The sequence below is a fragment of the Homo sapiens genome, chromosome 3 (assembly GCF_000001405.40).
Source record: "Homo sapiens chromosome 3, GRCh38.p14 Primary Assembly".
NCBI classification, from domain to species: Eukaryota; Metazoa; Chordata; class Mammalia; order Primates; family Hominidae; genus Homo; species Homo sapiens.
In genome coordinates this window covers 25,392,435-25,417,076 of record NC_000003.12, presented here as the reverse complement: position 1 = coordinate 25,417,076, position 24,642 = coordinate 25,392,435, and the positions used below count along the sequence as shown (strand labels likewise).

At 39.1% G+C, this 24,642-nt stretch overlaps 1 protein-coding gene across 2 annotated transcripts in view, besides 1 other annotated feature; it reads right to left on the bottom strand.

Moving 5' to 3' along the window:
- The window catches only part of RARB (retinoic acid receptor beta), a 768,612-nt gene that overhangs the window by 180,856 nt on the left and 563,114 nt on the right, over positions 1-24,642 (bottom strand). The gene's annotated exons all lie outside the window — the stretch shown is intronic.
- Positions 4,485-4,779: an enhancer, noted in NCBI's record as "tiled region #14684; HepG2 Activating non-DNase unmatched - State 23:Low". NCBI's record gives its function as "activates a minimal TATA promoter and a strong SV40 promoter by Sharpr-MPRA in HepG2 cells {active_cell/tissue: HepG2}" and the evidence as "EXISTENCE:reporter gene assay evidence [ECO:0000049][PMID:27701403]".

The window sequence follows — 24,642 nt, the reverse complement described above, 5'->3', positions numbered from 1 at the left end:
TGGCTATGTGGGCTGTATTTGGAGAGGGGGCTGCCTCCAAAGCTCTGTCTTCAAATATATGAAGTTGATTACTGATGCATCTGGAGGGGTAAGGAAAGGCCAGTGTGGCAAAACTAAGTTGGTGAGCCAGAGCATAACTTTCTACCAACAGCTTGTGAGAACTTTCCTGGTCTTACTGCTATTACCACAACAGTAACAGAGGAGGCTATTGTGACCCACAGTGCCAAACACATTGCTGAGTGCCCCATAGAAGTCCATGACAAAACGAGTGACGTGCCCCTCTGAAAGAACTGAGTAAGGCTGCCCAACACCATACTCAAGTCCAGGGGTTGGCAGACTCCAAAGGCCAAATCCAGCCTACCACTTGTTGTAAAATAAAGTTTTATTGGAGCACAGCAATTGCACATTAATTTGTTTACATATTGTCTTTGCTGCTTTTGCACAACAGAGCTGCGTGATCGTAGTGGCAACTGTATGGCCCACAAAGCTGAAAATATTTACAATCTGTACCTTTAGAGAAAAAAACTTGCTGACTGTAAGCATTCAGTACCAATCCATTGAATTGGCTTTGAAGATGAAATCTAGCGGCAGTCCTGGAACTGGATAATATCAAACGTTTCTTCAAGGTCTAAAAGTCTCAATTCGAACTCCCCAAGAATCCTCTGCAGTTATATATTTGCTTGCTTATGAGACAAAGTCTCACTTTGTTATCCAGGCTGGAGTGCAGTGGTGCAATCTTGGCTCTCTACAGCCTCAATCTCACAGGCTCAAGCGATCCTCCCGCCTCAACCCCGTAAGTAGCTGGGACTACAGGCATGTGCCACCATGCCTGACTAATTGTTTTTATTTTCATTTTTAGTAGAGATGAGGTATCACTACATTGCCCAGGCTGGTCTTGAATTACTGGGCTCAAATGATATGCCTCCCAGAGTGCTGGGATTATGGGTGTGACCCACTACACCCAGCCTTTGCTTAGATATTGGCATGCCTTGTTGCATCTTTTTCTTCAGTTCTTTTTGAATATGTTGCCATAATTAAGACAATGATGACCCTAATTAAAATAGGACTCTAGGTCATGTCCATTGCTGTGTGTTCCTTGCCCCTGCATTTTTTATTTATAACCCTACCTGGCATGTATCTACTTTTTACTGTATGTCTATCATAAAAAAAGTAGTCTCTTCAATGGTAGCAACCCAATCCAGTTCACTGCTATGATCCCAGTAATTAGAACAATATACAACACATAACAATCCCTCAATAAGTATTTGCTGAATGAATGAATAGTACTTCCTGGAAGACACTGACTAGCAGAGCCATGTACAAGTTGGTAGAAATTTAAAGTTGGAAGAGACTATGATCTACTGTTGTAAGGCAATTAGAATGGCCTCACTGTAAGTAAAACAAAATTAGGACTAATTATTAGAAGACATCATTAAAACAATGAAACCTATGGCACAGACCTTGTGTTTTTAACTCATGAATGGGGAAGTCCAACCTACATTAAGACCAGGAAAAAGGTAGTATTTTCCTAAAAATAGTGCTGGAACAATGGGGTATATATTGCATACAAATAAAACAACAAAAATAAAGGATTTATACCAGGAAAAATATAGTATTTTCCAAAAAATGGTGCTGGAATAATGAGGTATATACTGCATACAAATAAAACAAACAACAAAAATAAAAGATCCATAACCCACAGCATATGCAAAAATTCACTCAAAATGGATCCTGGACCTAAATGTAAAGCATAAAATCATAAACTTTTAGAAGAAAATAGGAGAAAATTTTGTGATCTTGCATCAGGCAATGATTTTTTAGATATGGCACCAAAGTATGACACATAAAAAAAACAAAATAATTAGAACTTCATTATAATTTACAACTTCTATTCTTTGGAAGACTCTGCTAAAAGAATAAAATGACAAATCATACAGTAGGATAAAAATAGTGCAAAGCGCAATCCCAGCACTTTGGGAGGCCGAGGCAGGTAGATCACCTGAGGTCGGGAGTTCGAGACAAGCCTGGCCAACATGGTGAAGCCCCGTCTCTACTAAAAATATAAAAATTAGCTGGACATGGTGGCAGGTGCCTGTAATCCCAGCTACTCGGGAGGCTGAGTCAGGAGAATTGCTTGAACCCAGGAGGTGGAGGTTGCAGTGAGCCAAGATAACACCATTACACTCCAGCCTGGGCAGCAAGAGCAAAATTCCATCTCAAAAAATTGTGCAAAGCATATATCAGATAATGGATTTGTAACTAGAATTTTAAAAATTCCAAAATTCAAAAGTAACAAAGCAAGCACCCTTCTTCCAACTCTTATTGGGTAAACAATTTGAACAGAAATGTCACTGAAGACATTATATATATGGCAAATAAACCTATGAAACAATGCTGAACATCATTAGTTATTAGGTAAATGCTAATTAGGTAAATGCCAATTAAAACCACAATAAGACACCACTACATACCTATTGGAATTGCTAAAATTAAAAAGCCTGCCATACCAAGTATTGCTGTGATTGTGGAGAAACTATAACTCTCATATACTGTTGCAAGAAATATAAAATCATAAACCAGTTTGAACATTTCTTAAAAAGGTGAACATATTCTTACCAAGTGATCCTGCCATTCCATGCCTAGGTGTTTACTCAGGAGACATTAAGGCATATTTCTATTCAATAACATGAACATTCATAGTAGCTTTATTTGTAGTAATAGCCCCAAACTGGAAGCAACCCAACTGTCCATCAATAGGTGAATTGGTAAAACAAATTGTGGTATATCCATACAATGGAAAGCTTCTTGGCAATAAAAAGGAATGAACTATTGATACATGCCACAGCATAAATGAATCTCATAATAATCATTCTGAGTGAAAGAAGATGGATACAATAGTAGCTAATGTATAATTTGATTTAAGTAAAGAAATTCTAGGAAATGCAATCTAATATATGTGGCAGCAAGGAAATCAGTGGTTGCCTAGAGACAGGGCTTAGGGAAAAGGGAGCGACAGGAGGGCAAGATTACAAAAGCACATGGAAAAACTTCTGGGTGGTGGTGGTGGTGGAAATGTTTATATCTTGATTATGGTAATGGTTTCACAGGTATACGTGCGCATCAAAACTTACACATTTTACACTTTAAGAATGTGCAGTTTATTGAATGTCAATTACAACTCAATAAATTGTCATGGAAAATAGTATTGAGCAAAATATTTAACAACCAGTGTGCTACAGACAATAATCCTTGAGAATAAATGCAGACCATGCCAGTGTGTTGCAGCTCAATGCCAACAAGCCTTGGTTGCAAAGATGATCAACTTCATTGGTTATCAGGGAATAAAATTTAAGACCACAATGCAATAGCACGACACATCTACCAAAATGTCTAAAATTAAAAAAACAAAAAACAAAAAACAAAAAACAAGATACCAAGGGTTGGTGAAGATGTGGAGAAATCTAAATTTTCATATACTGCCAGTGGGAATGGAAATTTGCACAACTATCTTGGAAAGTCATTTGTCAGTATCTACTGAAACCTAATATAGCTTCAAACTCTCATAGCTGATAATTCCATTTCTATGTATACACCCAATAAAAATGCATACATATGTTCATGTAAAAGGCATATACAAAAAACATAATCATAATTGTACTAATCATAATAGCCCCAAGGAGAAAACTACCCAAATATTTATCAAGAGAATGGATAAAAAATGTGATATATTCACACAATAGAAGACTCTCCAGCAATGAGAACAAACAAACTTGAACCATGTGCAATAGAGTGAATGAATGTTACAAAAATAATGTTGCATGAAAAAAGACAAAAATACACAAAAAGTACAACTCTGATTCTATTCATACGAAGTTCAAAAACATTAATGTTTCAGTTAATCTCATTAGAAGTTAGGATACTGGTTACCTTTTAATCTATGTTGTTAGAAGTGAGGATACTGGTTATGTTTTAGTCAGGATTTAAAAAAGGTACAAAGGAGCTTTTGGTGTTCGGGTCATATTTTTTCTTTCTTCTTCTTCTTTTTTTTTTTTCCCCCAAGATGGAATTTTGCTCTTGTTGCCCAGGCTGGAGTGCAATGGCAAGATCTCGGCTCACCACAACCTCCGCCTCCCGGGTTCAAGTGATTCTCCTGCCTCAGCCTCCTGAATAGGTGGGATTACAGGCATGCGCCACCATGCCTGGATAATTTTGTATTTTTAGTAGAGATGGGGTTGCTCCATGTTGGTCAGGCTGGTCTCAAACTCCCAACCTGAGGTGATCTGCCCGCCTCGGCCTCCCAAAATGCTGGGATTACAGGCATGAGCCACTGCCCCCGGCCCATGGTCATGTTCTTTTTCTCGATCTGAGTGCTGGTTAAATGTTTGTGTTCAGTTGTAAAAACTAAGCTGTATACATTTATGATTTATGTATTCCTTTCTATAAATGTTTTATTTCAATAAAAGTCTTTAGTTAAAAATAGAGTGGACAGATGACTCAGATTTAAAACAAACAAACAAGCAAACTCTCAATTGTTCCCATAACTGAGAAAGTTGGAGAACAACTACTCTGGTCAACAGTCTTGAGAATGGAAGGAGCTCTCAACATGAGCAGGTCAGATATTGGGGGCTGGGAAAAGAGAAGCTGTGAGTCACCATAGAACTAGCTTTATGTTTAACTCTAAAGGACAAAGAGCATTTGGATGAAACTGCATGCCAATATCTATATAACTAGGCCCCCTTGGTTAATAGCAACATTCAATTAAAAAAACACCAAAGCCTCAATATATTAAGATGTAATTTTTATCTTTTAAATAAAGATCTGAGTGATTAAGTGCAGGATAAGGACGAGAATTTAAAAAGGAAGACAAAAGAAAAATAAAACATCCATTGTCCTCTAGTTCATTGTCTGCTGTCCAGTCCCCAAAATGAAGCACTTTGACTACAAGTTTTATTAGAAGCCAAGAGCCATTAGATAATTTGCAGAGTCATTTCCAGGGAGTCTCCAGTTCTGTGATACCTCATAATGACTGCCCCTCATGCTATCTACAATTCCTGGAAGAAAGAGAATGTTTAAAATCAGAATGGGTGATTCCACTTGCAGTTTTCCATTTCCCCAACGTCAGCTGCTTCTGCCCTCTTCCTACCTAGCCTTGCAGTCCCTACATGGCCTGTTGCACTGCCCCTCTTTGTCCAGGTCCCCTGTTGTCTCTCCCAAAGTTGTCCCTGCATCTTTTGACTTGCTGGAAGTTGGGTAGTCTGGGACTTTCTCTCTGGACGTCCAAGGGTCACTGTCTTTCCAGCCAGGAAATTGTCCTTGTTTATACCAACTTACCAAGACAAAGGGGCACACAAGCCATGACCATCAAGGGCAGGTTCTTTGGCCTTGACTTAGATTACTAGTTTTCAACCAGAGCAGTAATATTCCTCGGGCGATTTGAGTGTCTGGGAGATATTCTTGGTTGCTTCTTGAGGTCACTACTGGCATTTAGTGCGTGAGGCCAGAGATGTCAGCTGTTCTGTGCAGTGAGGAACTCTCCACATCCCACATGACTTTAGAATGTAGGTGATTCGCGTAGGGAAATAATCTGAGCCTAGAGCCTAATTTCTTCTTACATACCCCCACATACTATTTTTTGTATGGTTTTAACATGCACTGGATCTCCCAAGATGGGATTACCTTGTGAGTTGAGGGAAAAGTGTGTTTTGTATTGTGTAGAATTTTACCAAGAGTTGTTTTTATCATTTCATAAAATCACTGATTCACCAAAACCTGGTCTCTGTAAGTCTGCATGGTAGCTGCTGCTTTCATGCCAGTTCTACAAAAAGGTGTGAATGTGTGACTTCTTCATCTTATCTTCCAGTGTAGTCATGTCTAAGCATTTACATGTTAAAACATAAACTATTATAAATTTCCTTTCATTTTTTCTATATATTATTAAGATGTTATGCTGATTTAAAAAAAGGTAGATTACATTATCTATGAACTCGATTTCAGAAAGGTATAGGATATGTTACAAAGTATTTACTGTATAAGGGACACTTTAGCTTCAAAGGGCAGGAATCCACTGATTTAAAGAAATAGCTCTAATTCCTCTGAAAATGTTTCAAATGCTTCTGTAAGGCTTTAACTTCCTAGACTTCTTATGTCAAATACAGGCTGACCTTTGCCCAGTAGTATGCTCCTAAACATTGAGCAAGTGGCTCTCTGCAGAGCAGGGGTTGGGGCAGCGAGCAGGAATTGGGAGGGAAGGAGGGGAGAGGCCCTGATATGCAGTGTTTGCTGATTTCTGTGGCGTAAATACTCTGACTGTGGCCCATTTCAAGAATCAAACAATATGGCGTCACTGGACAAAAAGCTGCATAGAGATACCAAAAATTAGTTCTTATAAACTTAAACAGGTGAGAGGACCTGAGGACTCAGTTTATGTTAAATTTCTGCTTAGACACCCCCGTGTTTTCTAGGTTACTGTAACAGGGCTTAGGGGACTATAAGGCAAATTAAGCAAAAAAGAAAATAAACAAGTCTGAAATGTATATGGGAAAGAAACACAGATGTCACTAGGCTCAGCGAGTTCACTACTCAAGATTCAAAGTGAATAAATACAAGAATGAAATAATTCTTCATAAAGTTAGCTGGTATCAGTTGTGATTCTAGGATAAAAAGAACTGCCTTGTTCAGATGAGAACTAAAGGACACGGCAATATGTTCCTAACATTTATTCTGCTGCCAGCTTAAAAGAAAGTAAGAGAGACAGATTTGTGATATGGTTTAAAGGCAGCACCTGAGAAGCCCCATTTAATTCACCAGGCACTGGAAATTTATGGGAGGCAGACTAGGCCTACTCATTTGTATCTTAGGTTATATGTATTTGCTAATCAAAGAAAGGGCCAGCTATTGTGACAGACTAACCCACACTCTGTTGTCCTGTTATCAGTCATTTTCAGAACTTAGGGAATCTGTTTGGCCAAAGTACAAAATCTCATCAAGAGGGAATGATGAACGGATTATAGGCTAAGACAATGAATGAAAACAAGAACTGGGCTGGTATAAGCAGTGCTAAGACATGAAAAAATTGTCAAGATCTAAAGCAATGAGAAACTGATGCACACACTCTTGTCTGATTTAGGATTTGTCTAGGACAAAACTTAGCAATATTTTGATTGTTTCTACAACTCCCTGATAAAGAACACTGAAGGATTAAACACTGAAGGATTCCTGGGAGGTAAAAGTAAGACACCATTGTACAAAAGGCATTAAAGTACGTTTGGAATCTATGGTGACATGTGCGGTAAAATTTTGGAAAGGAAATGTGGAGAGTTGCTCAGTTGGCTTGCACATGGACCTAAGGTTTACTGACTACTGTGAATTCTGCACATTATTAGAGAGGTCATCAACACAAAGTCCTTTGTAATAATTTTGCAGTTTGCACTCTGTATACCTCTTTGGTGCTTTTAAATTTTCAGAAAATTCAAACACAGTCCCACATTAAATGTATTATTGGCCTATATTAAAAGGTGTAAGATTCTGGGATTTCACGTTCTCTCTGAGCCCTAAATATTCAAGGTGACCGGAGAAGGTTCTTACACCCTATGGCACTACAGAGTTAACACAAATTTTGAATAAACTGAGTCTATGATGAATGTGTTCTGAACATGAAAAAGTTTGCAATGACTATCAACCAGGAAAATGTGCAACCCCAGCAGATGATGGCATATGGTGTGCGAGCTGATGAGGAGGAGAAGGTTTGCAGAGCCTTTGCTAACAGATGCTCAATGACAAAAGAAAAGTCAGTTGTATGGTCTCTTGGGAAAACAACAAGAAAACATAGGTGAAAATTTTTTTTCTTATGTCAGTGAAAGATATTAATGAACTACACATTTTTCTCTGGTATTAAGGAACAAGGAGTGGTGAGCTCATGGCAATGGGCTTAGGTCACTGAGGCCAGCGAGTCCCAGGTCATTGGTACTTGCTGCGTTGGCACTGTCATACTTGAGCATTTAATAGCATCACAGCTTTTGTTGTTGCTGTTGTTATTATTATTTTGAGACAGAGTCTCGCTGTGTCACACAGGCTGGAGTGCAGTGGCGCAATCTCGGCTCACTGCAACCTCCTCCTCCTGGGTTCAAGCGGTTCTCCTGCCTCAGCCCCCCAAGTAGCTGGGACTACAGATGCCTGTCACCACGCCCAGCTAATTTTTGTATTTTTAGTAGAGACTGCATTTCACTATGATGGCCAGGCTGGTCTTGAATTCCTTACCTCGTGATCTGCCCGCCTCAGCCTCCCAAAGTGCTAGGATTACAGGCATGAGCCACTGCACTTGGCCCTGTTGTTATTATTTTTTTAAGTGCCATGGTGGCATATACACTGTTGTTGCTTGACTTGCCTGCTTCCTGGAGCCAGGGAAGTCTTCCCTTAGCAATTCTTTAATGGAGAAAGAACTGGTAGTACTGGAAACCTTGCATAAATCATAACTCCAATTTTCTTGTGGTCACTGTGTGGAGTGGTGCCAGCTATTTGCAGTCTGATATGGTTTGGATTTGTGTCCCCACCCTAATTAGAGGAGGGGCCTGGTAGGAGGTAATTGGATTATAGGGGTGGATTTCCCCCTTACTGTTCTCATGATAGTAAGTTCTCATGAGATCTGAGAGTTCAAAAGTCTGTGGCACTTCTCCCTTCATTCTTTCTCTCTCCTGCTTGGCCATAGGAAGATGTGCCCTACTTCCCCTTTGTCTTTCACCATGATTGTAAGTTTCCTGAGGCTACTCCCGCCATGCAGAAATGTGAGTCAACTAAACCTCTTTTCTGTATAAATTACCCAGTCTCAGGTAGTTCTTTATAGCAGTGTGAGAATGGATTAATACATAGCCCATCATTAGATGTTACTGAGGAATCAAGAAATGAGACACAGAGCCTGTTCAGTGTAGTTAATGAAAGATGACATATGTTATATTTTTATTTTGGGTTTGGTCCCCCAGAAACAGACATTGAGACAAGGTTTTGAGTTTAAGTGGTTTATACGGAAGATCCAAGGAAGAAGTGATAGGTCAGTGGGGAAATGAGACAGTAAAGAGATGGGGGCAATAAAAGATGTGTTATTGAGACGTTACCGCTGTGGGCAACTGGAGTTCGATCCTGCTAGGGATCTTGGGAGACATGAAGTGTACACTTGGAACTTATCCTCCTAAAAGGGCAAGAGAGCTTGAGGATTTATCCACCAACTTCCCATCTTCTTGTTTAGGGATGTTTAATTTTCTAACACTTCCAGCTTATGCTGCATGAGGATCAAGGTTGTTCTCATGGCCAGGAAAAAAAAAAAAAGCCTTCATGCAGAGAACTGAAAGTATTCACAGTAAGCAGCCTTTGGCATGTAGAAGGGAGGGTAAAAGGATATGAATGGGACTCTGACAGTTATCTGCAATTCTGTGTGTGTGTGCGTGCATGCATGTGCACATGTGCAAATATATAAAACGAGGTAGATTTTCAAGAACAGAACTAAGATAGGCATAAAAAGGGGAGAGGTCACAACCAGCAGGTGGGATAGTGTGCTCAAAGGGACAGAAATACAATATCCAAAGTAGAATCAGGGATTATAATAATTATTGTGCCTTTAATTGAGAACCTACCATATTTAAGCAGGTCTCTTGTAAATGTGAAGTGTCCTCCCTAGCATCATTCAAGGTAAGGATTATTATTCTTAAATATGATGATGAAACTGAATTTTAGTTACATTGTCCCAAATCCCAGTGCATAATGGCCAAACCAGAATTTGCGGTCTTTTTCTAAAGACTGAAGTTTATTGACTACCATGCTGCCTAGTACCCCCGTCTGTTTGTTTGTAGTGACGTCTACAGAAGCTATCAGGAAGTTAGGTTCTGTTGAGGAACATATCAAATACTGGACTATAGGCAGTGGGGAACTGCCGAAGCCATTTTGAAGAGAGAAGCACATGATATGGCTGGCAGAAATATCCCGAAAAGATCGGGCTGAATGCAGCCAATTAGGTAACTGTAAAAATTTGTGGGTGGTAAAAATAGGAAAAATGACAGTTGTGAAAGACAGTATTTACTCCAGAAAATGTTACAGAATTTGGAAATCATTCCACATTAAAGGCAGAGAGAAGGAAGCAAAGATAACTTAGAGGCATCAAAACAAAGGGCTGGTGGGGATGATTAGCAGCCATCAAGATGCTTTGGTATGAATGATGAGCTCAATTTTTTTCACCCTGGGTTGAGGCAATGTAAAATACGTGAGCACAAGCTCCTGGTGTGATGGTAGTGGCTGTGGCCTCTGCCATCCTGCTCGATACTGTGCCTGATCTGGCTTTAAGGCACACGCCCTTTCTCCCTTCATTCCCATTATGGGCTTAATTGTGTTTCCTAAAATTTATATGCTGAAGTCCCAACCTCCAGTGTCTCAGAATATAATTGTATTTAGCAACAAGGTCTTTAAAGAAGTGATTGAATTAAAATGGGGTGTTAGGGTGGAGTCCTAATCCAATATGACCAGATTATCCAATATCCTTATAAGAAGAAGAGACACTGGGGGTGTGCAAGCACAGAGGTTCAATCATGTGAGGACAAGGCAGTGAGAAGGCAGCCAGCTGCAAGCCAAGGAGAAGGGTCTCAGGAGAGACCAACCCCACTGGCACCCTGATCTTGGACTTTTAGCCTCTAACACTGTGATACAATACATTTCTATTGTTTGAGCCGCCCAGTCTGTGGAATTTTGTTACGGCAGCCTGAGCAGACAAATACAATCCCTGATGGAGGTTGCGTGCTTCTTTGGAGTGAATGCCCTTCCTATATACAGGAGGACAACTCTTCTGACTCACAGCGATCCCTTCCTGGAACCTCTAAATAAAGTTTGGAGCATATCCAAAAGGTGGGTATGTATATCCATGACCTGAATGTGGCCAGCCCTGGATATGGACAGATGCCTGGTCATGTTGGTGAAGGTCAGAGTCACGGGAATGGAGAGATAGCAATCACAGGAAAAAGAAAGTAATAAGAAAAAAGATGGCCAGTTCTTATGGTTAGGAGATGGGAGTCCTCTAAGGCAGGAAGAGAAGGAATACTCTCGGGATAGTGACCACAGTATTATTGCTACTAATGACCAAACATGTGTCAACAGTGCCCTTGGCTCATGCCGTCCCTCTGGACAGTCTTCCCCCTTTCTCATTAGTGTCCTGCCCCTCCACCAAGAGCTGGCTCCTATGCCACATCTGCCATGAAACCCCTTGACCAAGATAACAGAAGTGCTTTCTTATTCCTTTGAACTTTCAGAGCAGCATTGTCCAATAAAACTTTCTGTGATGACGGAAATATCTGTGCCCTATAATAATGCATCATTAGCCACATGCAGCTACTGAACACAAGGAGTGAAGATACTATGACTGAACAACAGAATTTTTTATTTCATTTCATTTAAATTTAAATTGCCACATGTGGTTAGTGGTGAACATATTTTACAACACAGATCTAGAGTGTTTACTGTGGCATTCCTGGCCTCACTCCACATTGCCTTGAATGGTTTTATCTCTGTACATGACATTCTCTAGCCACATAACAAGCCAGGTGAGAGCAGAGGAGTTCTCTTAAGTAAGTTTGTATTTCCACATCACCAAACTCAAGGCCTGATGTTTAGCAATGCTTATAATACGTTTGCAAGTATATTCATGGCTGTCATTTTGTTTTATTGATATAGTAGTTGTTTGTTTGTTAAATAGAGACAGGGTCTCACTGTGTTGCCCAGGTTGGTCTCAAACTCCTGGCCTCAAGCAATCCTCCTTCCACAGCCTCCCAAAGTGCTGGGATTACAGCCATGAGCCATTGTGCCCAGCCAATATAGTAGATTATTTGTCAATCTTGTGGCTCAAAAGAAAAAGCTTTCAATGACTTTCATGCATTCCACTAAATGCTAGGCCTCTGCTCCGGTCTCTGGGGATTAAGAGACGGTTAAAAAATAGCTTTGGCCTCTCAGGGATCGCATCTCATGGAGCAAACAGAGACATGAAACCTGCAAATGCCATTTAACCAGATCTATAGTTAGCCTGGTGGGATTTAGAAATTATATTCCTGGCATTTCTCTTTCAGGTCCCCATATAATAAATTTTCTTTTCTGCAGATAGAAAAAAAGGATAGAATAAATGCTGATTGGGCATGAGACCTACTGGGTTACTGAAAAAAAAGTAGCGAGTAAATTTAATTATTTCAGAAGCAATCAACAACTGGGTTGGAGGTTCAGTAGGTATAAAGAGGAGTTTGGTATGATCTTTCAGAACAGAAACCACAAAAATCTTCACTTGTTTCATGTAGCTGCAATGTGAGTCTAACTACATCACAAGAAGCTTTTCTCTTTGTGGGCAACCCTTGAAATACGAGGCCATGCCTAATTTGTTGGCGTTTTCTTCCCCGCCATGCCCCTGCTTCCACTATCTGTCCCTAAGCCAAGAACCTTGCAAACAGCAGGTGCTCAAAAAATGTTTGAGCACCTACTCAAACTTTCCTTTTCATAATTCCTGGATAGTGAAAAATATTATGCTTACCTTCTCTACCCTGGGTCAATTATTTATTCCCTAGAATCACATCCTTCATAAAAATGGAGAATATTAAATTAGCCATCAGGTCTCCCTTTGGCCTAGTCAGAAGTAACTCTTGGGTAAAATGGTGGCTCCAGGGAATTAAATGCAAATAAGCATTAGCAAGTCAACTTTCTACCAAGGAGTGAGTTACTGTTGGCTACACAGCACTCCAGTCCAGTTAAGCTAACCCTGTCGGAATGTTAAACAGAGTGCAGCCAACACCTTGAAATGTGGAAGGAAACCGTCAGGGCTTTGCCAGGACTGCTCATCAGTGAGAAGGTCCCCTGGAAAGAATGAAGTAACAAAGAGCACTGAAAAAAGTGTAAAGCAACCTGAGAATCTACTGACACGTTGACAAATATCACTCCTCCCTGCTTTCCTCAAATCAGAATCGAGCAGTTGAAGCATGAGCAATTTCTAAATAAGATTTTCACTGTCCAAGATTAGGCTCTTCTTCCCTTATCAGCAACCTCTGAAAAGCTCCAGGTGGATCTTGTCCAGAAAAAAAAAATCCTGAAATATTCAGTAAAAAGTTATTAGGGAAGCTTTGGCCTATAACTATAAGCTTCTGGAAAAAAAAATACTCAATTTTTTTTTTTTTTTTTTTTTTAGAAAAAGAAATTCACAGCTTGTGACACTTGGCATCTTTTTTTTTTTTCTAATGAAGATGATGGCCAATTTCATAAAAGAAAAAAATGAAAGTAACAGTGCTAAATAATAGCGCTCAAATGTCAAAGAAGCCAGATTTTTCCAGGAAAATATCAGAACTCATCCAAAAAGCTGAAAAAGTTATTAAGATGGTAATACAGTTTGAGATACAGTCTCTTGTCACTTCAGAGTGTATTAAAAAATAATATCGCAGAGCTGAAATTTTTATTTTTATTCTGGTTCTAAAGTTAAGCCAGGGTAATTTTATCTTAGCCTGAACTGCCTAGGCTTACTCTGGTTTAAAGGCAAAGTTGAGGTCAGATTTAACACTAGTGCTTCATTCTCTAGCCTAAGTAACATAAATTCAAGTGGCTTCACATGGCCTTACTTTTTTGTTTGTTTTGGGTTTTATTGTTTATTTTTTAAATTTTCTTATTTGTAATTTTTGTGGGTACACAGTAAGTATATATATTTATGGGTACATGAGATGTTTTGATACAGGCATGCAATGTGAAATAACCACATAATGGAGAATGGGGTATCCATCCCCTCAAGCATTTATCATTAGTGTTACAAACAATCCAATTACACTCTTTATTTTAAAATGTACAATGGAGTTATTACTGACTACAGTCACCCTGTTGTGCTATCAAATACTAGGTCTCACTCATTTTTTTTTTTTTTTTTTGAGATGCAGTCTTTCTGTCACTCAGGCTGGAGTGCAGTGGCACGATCTCAGCTCACTGCAACCTCTGCCTCCCTGGTTCAAGCATTTCTTCTGCCTAGGCCTCCCAAGTAGCTGGGACTACAGGCGCCCACCACCATGCCCAGCTAATTTTTGTGTTTTTAGTAGAGATGGGGTTTCACTATGTTGGCCAGGCTGGTCTCGAACTCCTGACCTCATGATCGGCCTGTCTCAGCCTCCCAAAGTGCTGGGATTACAGGCGTGAGCCACCACGCTTGGCTTTATTCATTCTTTCTAGCTACATTTTTTGTACCCATTAACCATCCTCATGCCCCACCCCAACCCCCACTACCACTCTTAGCCCCTGGTGACCATCTTTCTACTTTCTATGGCCATGAGTTCAATTGTTTTGATTTTTAGATCCCACAAATAAGTGAGAACATGCGACATTTGTCTTTCTGCGCCTGGCTTATTTCACTTAACATAATGTCCTTCAGTTCCACCCAAGTTGTTGCAAATGTCAGGATGTCATTCTTTTTTATGGCTGAATAGTACTCCATTGTGTATATGTATCACATTTTCTTTATCCATTCATCTATTGATGGAAACTTAGGTTGCTTCCAAATCTTAGCTATTGTAAACAGCACTGGACAAACAGAGGAGTGCAGGTATCTCTTTGATATTCTGATTTCCTTTCTTTTGAGTATATACCTAGCAGTGGGATTGCTAGATCACATGGTAGCTCAATTTTTAGTTTTTTTGAGGAACCTCCAAACTGTTCTCCCTAGTAGTTGCACTAATTTACATTCCCATCAACAGTGTACAAGGGTTCCCTTTTCTCCACATCCTTGCCAGCATTCACTATTGCACATGGCTTCACTTCTAAACCATCAACAAATTCATAGTGTTGGATGAAACTGGCTTTGAGTAATTGGGTTTTATCCAGCTTGGAATTCAAATTGTATTCTTTAACCTGTAATGATATCTCCCACTAATTTTGGAAAATTTGTGGCTTTTTTCTTTTTAAAATTGCTTTTTTATCTCTTTACTCTTTCTACAAATCAAAATATATATGTTGAAAATTTTCAGGCTGGGTGCAGTGGCTCACTCCTGTAATGCCAGCACTTTGGGAAGCCGAGGTGGGTGCATCACTTGAGGTCAGGAGTTTGAGACAGCCTGGCCAAATGGTGAAACCCTGTCTCTACTAAAAATAACAAAAATTAGCCAAGCTTGGTGGCGCACACCTATAATCCCAACTACTCAGGAGGCTGAGGTAGTAGAATCACTTGAACCCGGGAGGCAGAGGTTGTAGTGAACCTAGATCATGCCACTGCACTCTAGCCTGGGCGACGGAGGGAGACTCCATCTCAAAAGAAAAAAAACAAAAGAAAATGTTCAATGTCTTTTTGCTGTTTTCTGCATTTTCCATCCTTTTATCTGTTTGTGCTTCCGTCTGAATACTTTCTCCTGACCTATCTTACAGTTCACTAATCCGTTCTTCTGTGGTGTCCAATCTGCTACTAAGCCTAAGATCTTCATTTTAGTTAATATACATTTCAGTTCTGAAATTTCTATTTGATTCTTTAATAAAGTCCAGTTTTCTGGTAAAATTCCCCATCTGATCATTTATTTCTTAAATATATTCAGCACATTGCTTTTAAAGATGATTATAATATCTGGATCACCTATGGTCTGTTTTATTATCTGTTTTTTCCTGGTCTTATTTCTTAGTATGTCTGGTAAGTTTTGGTAGAGCGAGGAACGTTGTATATGAAAAATTATAAAGGCTCTAGATGAAAAAAATTATAAGGGCTATCATTCTTCAGAGAGGCTTCACCCTTTCTGAAGGTAAATCTAGGTATCTAGAGTAGGGAGTGCATAATCTCGATTGAATCAAGGGCTCAGCTGACTGGAGAGAAAGTTTCGTCTTTCTCAGCCCAGGTCTACCTTGGGTCCACCTACCCTTATGGTGTTGTCCTCTAGGGATGCCAAGAGGAGCCTGAATGTTTTCCACAGCCTCTCCTCCTAAATTTCAAGTTTTGTCTTTCTGGCACCATGAGATTCTGAAAACTCCATTCTGCTTTTTGGCAACTTTTCTTTTGCTTGGCTTCTTAACCTCTTGCCTTATGAAACTAAGAATGAGAAAGTTCCTGAGGGGGCATGAGTTTTGCATTTCCTTTTTCAGAGGGGTTGACCCCTCAAAATCTTGGAGGCTTTGGCAGATCTCTGATACCTTAAAAACAGATTTACATTTTATATTTATATTTTAGTTTTATTTTATATTTATATTTTATTTTATATTGTCTGGCTTTTCTAGTTCTTCCTGGGAGCACTGGTCTGTTACAAGCTGTTCCATCCCAGCCAGAAGTAAAAGTGTTGAATAACTGTGGTTTTTGCGAAGGCAAAATCCTAGAGGCTGAAAACTATCCAAAAAACTCAACTAGGAAACTTTATTCTATATGCCAGGAACTGTATTTCTATTAGGGTTTTCAAATGAATAAAATAATATTCCTATCCTGAGGGCATTCACATCCTATCAGAACTCTTCTAAGGTACACTTGACTCTGTTCCATTCTTATTCTCTTCTTTGTTTATTTTAAATATTTAGTTCAAGACTCCCAATAAATCTTTGATGAAAGAGTTAGGTAAATATTGAGAATATTGAGACCTTCTTTCTTCGAAACCTCATACTATTATTATCAGCATTTCACAGAACAACACGTCACAATGCTTGAATTATGGAATAAACAGTTCCTTATTCCCCACTGCTTCCCCTTACCAGATCATGAGTTCCTTGAATAGAAGAACCAGGTTTGATACTTATGCTATAACCTCCAAATCTATACATATAATAATAATTATTCTTATTTCATCACGATCACTGGGCAAACTCCCAAACTCCTGGTAACTTTTGTGTGGGAAAGAATGGGGAGAAGGAAGTGTCCTTCTCTCCAGGATCCTGTCTATGGACAGAGGAGAATTGAATGGCTGGGACTGTGTCTCTGGGAGTTAGTTGTTCTTGGCTATGCACAATCAAGAATGATCTGCCTCTTCTTCCAGATGATAGTAATAATGGGTAGCATTATTAAATGCTTCCAGTATGCCTGGCATTATTCTAAGCATATTATATATATTACCTCATTAACTCTTTAGGAGAATCCTCAGAGGTAAGTCTTATTATTTCTTATCCCCGTTTTGCAAGTAAGGAAATAGAGACATAGAGTGACAAAGTTATAAAAACCTAACCATAAGGCTCACTTCTCTAGAAACATCAGCAGAGACCCTAACTCAAGGCATTCGTGGTGGGAGACCCAGAGGTGGATAGCTTATGGGAGACTTGCTAGTTATATGCAACAGTCTCTGCCTGTGAGACAAACCTCGGATTTACTTCTGGTTCCAGCTAACGTTTTTCTTCTTCCCACTTTTAGTTGGTTTTAATATACCAGCTAGGATTGAGTTCCATCACAGCAGCTATGGTAGCTTCACAAGCCAAGGGCCTATGTTTTTCCCAGAACAAGAGGTCTGAAGTTAGGAAGTTCAGGACTCACACGGAGGCTTTTTGCTACCTTCCTACTCTCTTAATTAAATATGTACCAGTTCCCTTCATGTTTGCAAACTGGCTGCTACCTCTTCAGCATTGTGTGTGTATTTCAGGCAGGAAGAAGAAAAAGGATGAAGTGGATAAGATAAAGAGTAAAGCCAACAATTCAGCTCCTGTTCAAACAGTTTTCCCAGAAGCCCCATCCAGTGACTGTCTTTACATCTAGGTGGTCCAGACTGTGTCACATGGCTACTCCTTGATGCAAGGGGATTTGGAAGATGGAGTACTTTAAATGTGCAAATTGCTACACTGAAGAAAATAAAGATACTTTTAGCAAGGACTAAGGAGAGACTAGCGACCCAAAATATCTGCCATAGTTATTAAACTTTTAACTGAAGTCAGGGGAAAGAACTGCAAAGCCAGCAAGCCCAGGGGGTTTATTTCTCAGTAAAGCATCATAGTGATACACGGAGCTAGAATAAGAAACCTGTGTCCTCCTGGATCAGGTCTATGTATCTTCCTATCTGTAAACAATCTCATGCTGCAAAGCCAGGATGGTAGAGTGAAAAGAGCCCTGAATTTGGAAGCAGAAGAAGAGGGCCACATATTGCTTTTGCCACATGTAATCTGGGGACTTTGGGCAAGATATTAACTTCACATTCCTTATCAGCAAAATGGGCAGTAAAATGACCTTTCCTTTGTGTAAGTCGATCTAAAATTACATAGGTATATGAATTTATAACATTTTAACATATTGCGTACAGACATAAAATATATATTAATGTAGATAATTTTATAACATTAGAACATTTATATACACATGCATGTATTTATACAGTTATTTGTTTAATACAATTTTATAATATCTTTGTAATGGAATATGGTAGAATGTACAATGTGCTTTAGGATATCACTTCTAAAATTAAGGACTTAAGCTTCTGGAACCCACCTGGTTGCCAATCTACTTCCCATATAGGGAGAAGAAACAGGGCTTGGTTTATCCCAGATGAGGGCAAAAAAGAGGGCTTGGAATTATCAGTGTATCTCAACATTAAAACTGTCATCTCTCCCATTGGAAATATGGCAACTGTGTTGTGTTTTCTAAGATATATGCCAGCAATATTTCAAAATATGATTAACAGTGCCAATACCTTGTAAAGTTGGGCACATCTTTTCTTGTTTTGTCTTAGTGATACCGTCTATCTTTGTGAAAGCTGATATATTAAATAGCTTTTTAAAAGCCTTATTGTGGCTTTTCTTTCCCCTTGGTATAGTAGTGTAACTTTTATCGATAATAATGGGAGTTATGTTGGAGCATCCAGGGTGTTTATGTGGGTCCTGTAGTTAATGGTGATGGACCAGCCTTGAAACCGTGGCCTAGAGTTCAGGAGCCTGTCTCATTTTTTTTATGTTCTCAGAGGGATGGGAAAGTGTCTGTTTACATCTCTTTTAGCTGGCCCCCAAACGTGGAGCTTCTCTGCCTTTCTATTTTGGTGGAAACTAGTGCCTGGATACATAAATTGAGATGGAATAAAAACAAATTTCATGTAAAAATATATCATATCCAAATCCCCAAATTAGGGGAAATTTCACCCAAAAAGATTTACCTTAGCTTCAGCCTAAATTTTAAAGACTATAGGAAAAATTATATCATTTTAAGGGTTATATAAGAATTATAACCAGTTAAGAATATATAGACCAGCCCTTGAAATGTATGTAAGAATTTTTTTTTTTTCTAATCAAAACAACTCATACATTTTCACAAATCACATATTTTTTGAGCTGGAAAAGGACTGTGAAGTGGCCTTATTTTATAAATGAAGAGATTAAGGCCCACTGAGGCTAAATGCATTACCTGAATTTGTACAAAGAATTTTCATTCCTGACCATGGACATGGAAAACATTATGATAATGAGGAACTTGATAAGTGAACAAATATATGTATGCTTGGAACAGAAGGGATACTCAATACTTTTTAAATAAATTCAATATTGGGGTTTTAAAAAGCAAAGTACAGAGATAAACTAATATAAAATTATTATCGAGAGGTTTCAAAAATGTTGGCTAGGAGGCAGGACTAACTTGCAGGTTCCACTTGGATGACAGAACAGTGTGTGGAGACTCACACTGTGAACTTTTGCTTCAGGAACTACTGCAGAAACATACCAGAAAAACTGAAGGAATTCACAGACCCTTTGAAGGAAGTGGCTTGCCACTGTAAACTCTGTGGGACAGCCGAAAAACTCTGAGTGCCCAAAGTGTGATGGGGGAAGTCCACTTCTGAACACACATCCTCACGGAGGAACCTGAAAATCCAGATCATGGGAGAAGGATTTAACCTTACCTAGAAGTCAAACAAATTTAGAGAGCCAAGTGAAACATAAAGGTAGAAGCAGCAGGAAGAGCCCTGTGGGCACACAGTCCCCAGGGAAGCCATTTCTGACTTTCTCTCACAGGGACCCTTGGGGAGGGCTGCCAGTAGAATTGGGGAAGGAACACATGGAGAAGAAAATTTCCAGCTGAAATTTGTAATAATTTCAACTTCCTGGGCAGAATCTGAGGTTGCGGGGGCAGTGAATGGGAAGTGCAGATATGCGCGCAAGAAACCATGGCAGTTGAGAGAGCAGTGGGGCCTGAAAGCCCAGGTTTCTTTCTTAGCAGGGAGGCTTGTAGCCTGGGGCAAGATCTCAGCCATACTCACTGGTTGCCTAGATATACACTGGGTGCTGTTGGTGGGGCACAGTTGGAGTGAAACTGGCCTTGCTGGCTGTATGGGAACTGGGTAAGGCCAGTCACTGCTGGTTTTCTTCTACTTCCCTGGTGACCTGTATGACACAGCAGAGGCAACCATAATCCCCCTGGGAACATAACTCCATGGGCCTGAGAACCACACCCCCATCTCCACAGCGCCACAGCAAACCCCACCCAAAGAGAGTCTGAGCTCAGACACACCTAACCCTGCCCTAACCTGATGGTTTTTCTCTACCTGCCCTGGTAGCTGAAGACGAAGGATATAATCTCTTGGGAGCTCTGTGGCCCTACCTACTAACTTGAATACTTATCCAGGTAACCTTAGGGCAAGCTTGTATCCCCACTATACTACCACAGCTGATGCTCTCTTCAAAAGTGCCACCAACTGGCTGGAGGCCAACCTACTCAAGCCATTCAGCAACTCACAAAAGAACAACCCCACTTGAAGAAAGAAAACAACAGTTGATTCCACTGCCTGTAACATCCTGGCTAACCTGAGTCTGTCCACATGACAACTCCACGGCTAGTACAACCAGCATTCAAGAAAACCAGCACACTAAACAGAACTACAACCAAGGACCCTCAAAGAGTTCAATTCACTGCCCTGCTACCTCCACCAGAGCACGTGCTGGTATCCATGGCTGAGAGGCCTGAAGATAGATCACATTTCAGGACTCTTTACAGACCCTCCCCATTATAAGCCTGGAGCCCAGTAGCTCTGCTGGGTGGCTAGACCCAGAAGAGAAATAACAGTCACTACAGTCTGGTTCTTAGGAAGCCACATCCCTAGGGGAAGGGGGAGAACACCCCATCAAGGGATCACCCTGTGGGACAAAATAATCTGAATAGCAGCCCTTGAGTCCCAGATCCTCCCTCTGACATAATCTACCCAAATGAGAGGGAACCAGAAAAAAGATGCTGGTGATATGACAAAACAAGGTTTTTTAACTCCCCACAAAGATCACACTAGTTCACCAGCAATGGATCTAAACCAAGAAGATATCTCTGAATTGCCAGAAAAAGAATTCAGAAGGTAGATTATTAAGCTACTCAAGGAGACACCAGAGAAAGGTGAAAGCTAACTTAAAGAAACTTAAAAATAATACAAGATATGGATGGAAAAAATCTCCAGAGAAATAGATAGCATAGAGAAATCCAAAATATACTGCAAAGTTTCAACAGTAGAGTTGAACAAGTAGAAGAAAGAACTTCAGAGCTTGATGACAGGGCTTTCAAATTAACCCATTCCAACAAAGACAAAAAAAAGAATTTAAAAAATGAATAAAGCCTCCAAGAAATGTAGGATTATGTTAAACAACCAAACCTATGAATAATTGGTGTTCCCAAGCAAGAAGAGAAATTTAAGAGTTTGGAAAACTTCTTTGAGGGAATAATTGAGGAAAATTTCCCTTACTTTGCTAGAGATCTAGACATCCAAATACAAGCAGCTCAAAGAACATCTGGGAAATTCATTGCAAAAAAAGATCATCACCTATGCACATAGTCATCAAGTTATCTAACTTCAAGATGAAGGAAAGAATCTCAAGAGCTGTGAGGCAAAAGCGTCAGGTAACTTGTGAAAGAAAACCTATCAGATTAACAGATTTATCAGCAGAAACCCTTCAAGCCACAAGGGATTGGGGTCCTATTTTTAGCGTCCTTAAACAAAACAATTATCAGCTAAGAATTTTGTATCCAGTGAAACTAAGCTTAATAAATGAACGAAAGACAAAGTTGTTTTCAAACAAATGCTGAGACAATTCACCACTGCCAAGACAACACTACAAGAGCTGCTAAAAGGAGCTCTGAATCTTGAAACAAAACCTCAAAATACACCAAAATAGAACCTCCTTGAAGCATAAATCCCACAGGGACTGTAAAACAATAACACAAGGAAAAAAATAATGAAAGTATTCAGGCAACAACTAGCACAATGAACAGAATAGTACCTCACGTTTTCATACTAATGTTGAGTGTAAATGGCCTAAATGTTCCACTTAAAAGATTCAGAATGGCAGAATGGATAAGAATTCAGCAACCAAGTATCTGCTGCCTTCTAGAGACTCACCTAACACATAAAGACTCACATAAACTTAAGGTAAAGGGGTGGAAAAAGATATTCCAGGCAAATGGACACCAAAACAAGAAGGACTAGCTTTTCTTATATCAGACAAAAGAGACTTCAAAGCAACAAGAGTTAAAAAACACAAAGAGAGGCATTACATAATTATAAAAAGATTACTTCCATAGGAAAATATCACAATCCTAAATATATATGCCTCTAACACTGGAGCTCCCAAGTTTATAAAACAATTAAGACTAGACCCAAGAAATGAGATAGATGGCAACACAATAATAGTTGGGGGACTTCAGTACTCCACTCACAGTGCTAGATAGGTCATCAACACAGAAAGTCAACAAAGAAACAGTGGACTGAAACTATACCTTAGAACAAATGAACTTAACAGATATTTACTGAACATTCTAACCAACAACTGCAGAATATACATTCTATTCATCAGCACATTGAACATTCTCCAAGATAGGCCATATATTAGGTCACAAAATTAGTCTCAGCAAATGTAAGGAAATTGAAATTATAACATGTACTCTCTCAGACCACAGTAGAATAAAATTGGAAATCAACTCTAAAAGGAACCCTCAAAACCATGCAAATACATGGAAATTAAATAATCTGCTCCCGAATGGTCACTGGGTCAACAATGGAATCAAGATGGGAATTTAAAAATTATTTGAACTGAATAATAGTGACAAAACCAAAACCTCTGTGATACAGCAAAAGTATTTCTAAGAGAAAAGGTCACAGCATTAAACACCTTCATCAAAAAGAACACAAATAGACAATCTAAGGTCACACCTCAAGGAACTAGAGAATCAAGAACAAACCAAAACCAAACTCAGCAGAAGAAAAGAAATAACAAAGATCAGAGCAAAACTAAATGAAATTGAAACAACAAAAAAATACAAAAGATAGAAAAAACAAAAAGCTAGTTCTTTGAAAAGATAAACAAAATTCATAGACCATTAGGGAGATTAACCAAGAAAAGAAGAGAGAAGATCCAAATAAGCTCAATTAGAAATGAAACAGAAGCTATTACAATGTATACCACAGAAATACAAAAGATCATTCAAGGCTACTATGAACACCTTCACGTGCACAAACTAGAACACCTTTATGTGCATTAACTAGAAAACCTAGAGGAGATGAACAAATTCCTGGAAATACACAATCCTCCTTGATTAAACCAGAAAGAAATGGAATCTCTTAACAGAACAATAACAAGCAGTGAGAATGAAATGGTAATTTAAAAAACTGCCAACAAAAAAAAGTTCAGGAACAGATGGATTCACAGCTGAATTCTATCAGAAATTCAAAGAATGGGTACCAATCCTATTGAAACTATTACAAAAGACAGAGAAAGAGGAAATCCTCCCTAAATCATTTTATGAAGCCAATATCACCCTAATATCCAAACCAGTAAAGGACATAACAAAAAACTACAGACCAATATCCCTGATGAACATAGACACAAAAATCCTCAAAGAAAAAAAAAATACTAGCTAACTGAATCCAACAGCCTATCAAAAGATAATCCGCAATGATCAAGTGGGTTTCATACTAAGGATGTAGGGATGGCTTAACATATAGAAGTCAATAAATGTGATACAACACATAAGCAGAATTAAAAACAACAATGACATGGTCATCTCAATAGACACAGAAAAAAGCATTTGACAAAATCCAGCATCGTTTTTTGATGAAAACATCAGCAAAATCGGCATAGAAGGGACATACCTTAAGGTAATAAAAGCCATCTATGACAAACCCACAGCCAACATTATACTGTATGGGGAAAATCTGAAGTCATTCCACTTGAGAACTGGAAGAAGACAAGGATGCACACATTCACCACTTGTATTCAACATAGTACTGGAAGTCCTAGCCAGAGCAATCAGACAAGAGAAAGAAATAAAGGGCATCTAAATCAATAAAAAGGGAGTAAAACTGTTGCTGTTTGCTAATGAGATGATTGTATACCTAGAAAACCCTAAAGACTCATCCAAAAAGCTCCTAAATCTGATAAATGAATTCTGTAAAGTTTTGGGATACAAAATCAATGTACACAAATCAGTAGCACTGCTATGCATCTACAGTGACCAAGCTGAGAATTAAATAAATACCTCGACCCCTTTTACAGCAACTGTGAAAAAAAATATACATAGGAATATAGCTAACCAAGGATGTGGAAGACCTCTACAAGGAAAACTATAAAACACTGCTGAAAGAAATCACAGACAACACAAACAAATGGAAACACATCCCAGGCTCATGGATGGATAGAATCAATATTGTAAAAATGGCCATACTGCCAAAAGCAATCTATAAATTCAATGTAAATCCCATCAAAATACCA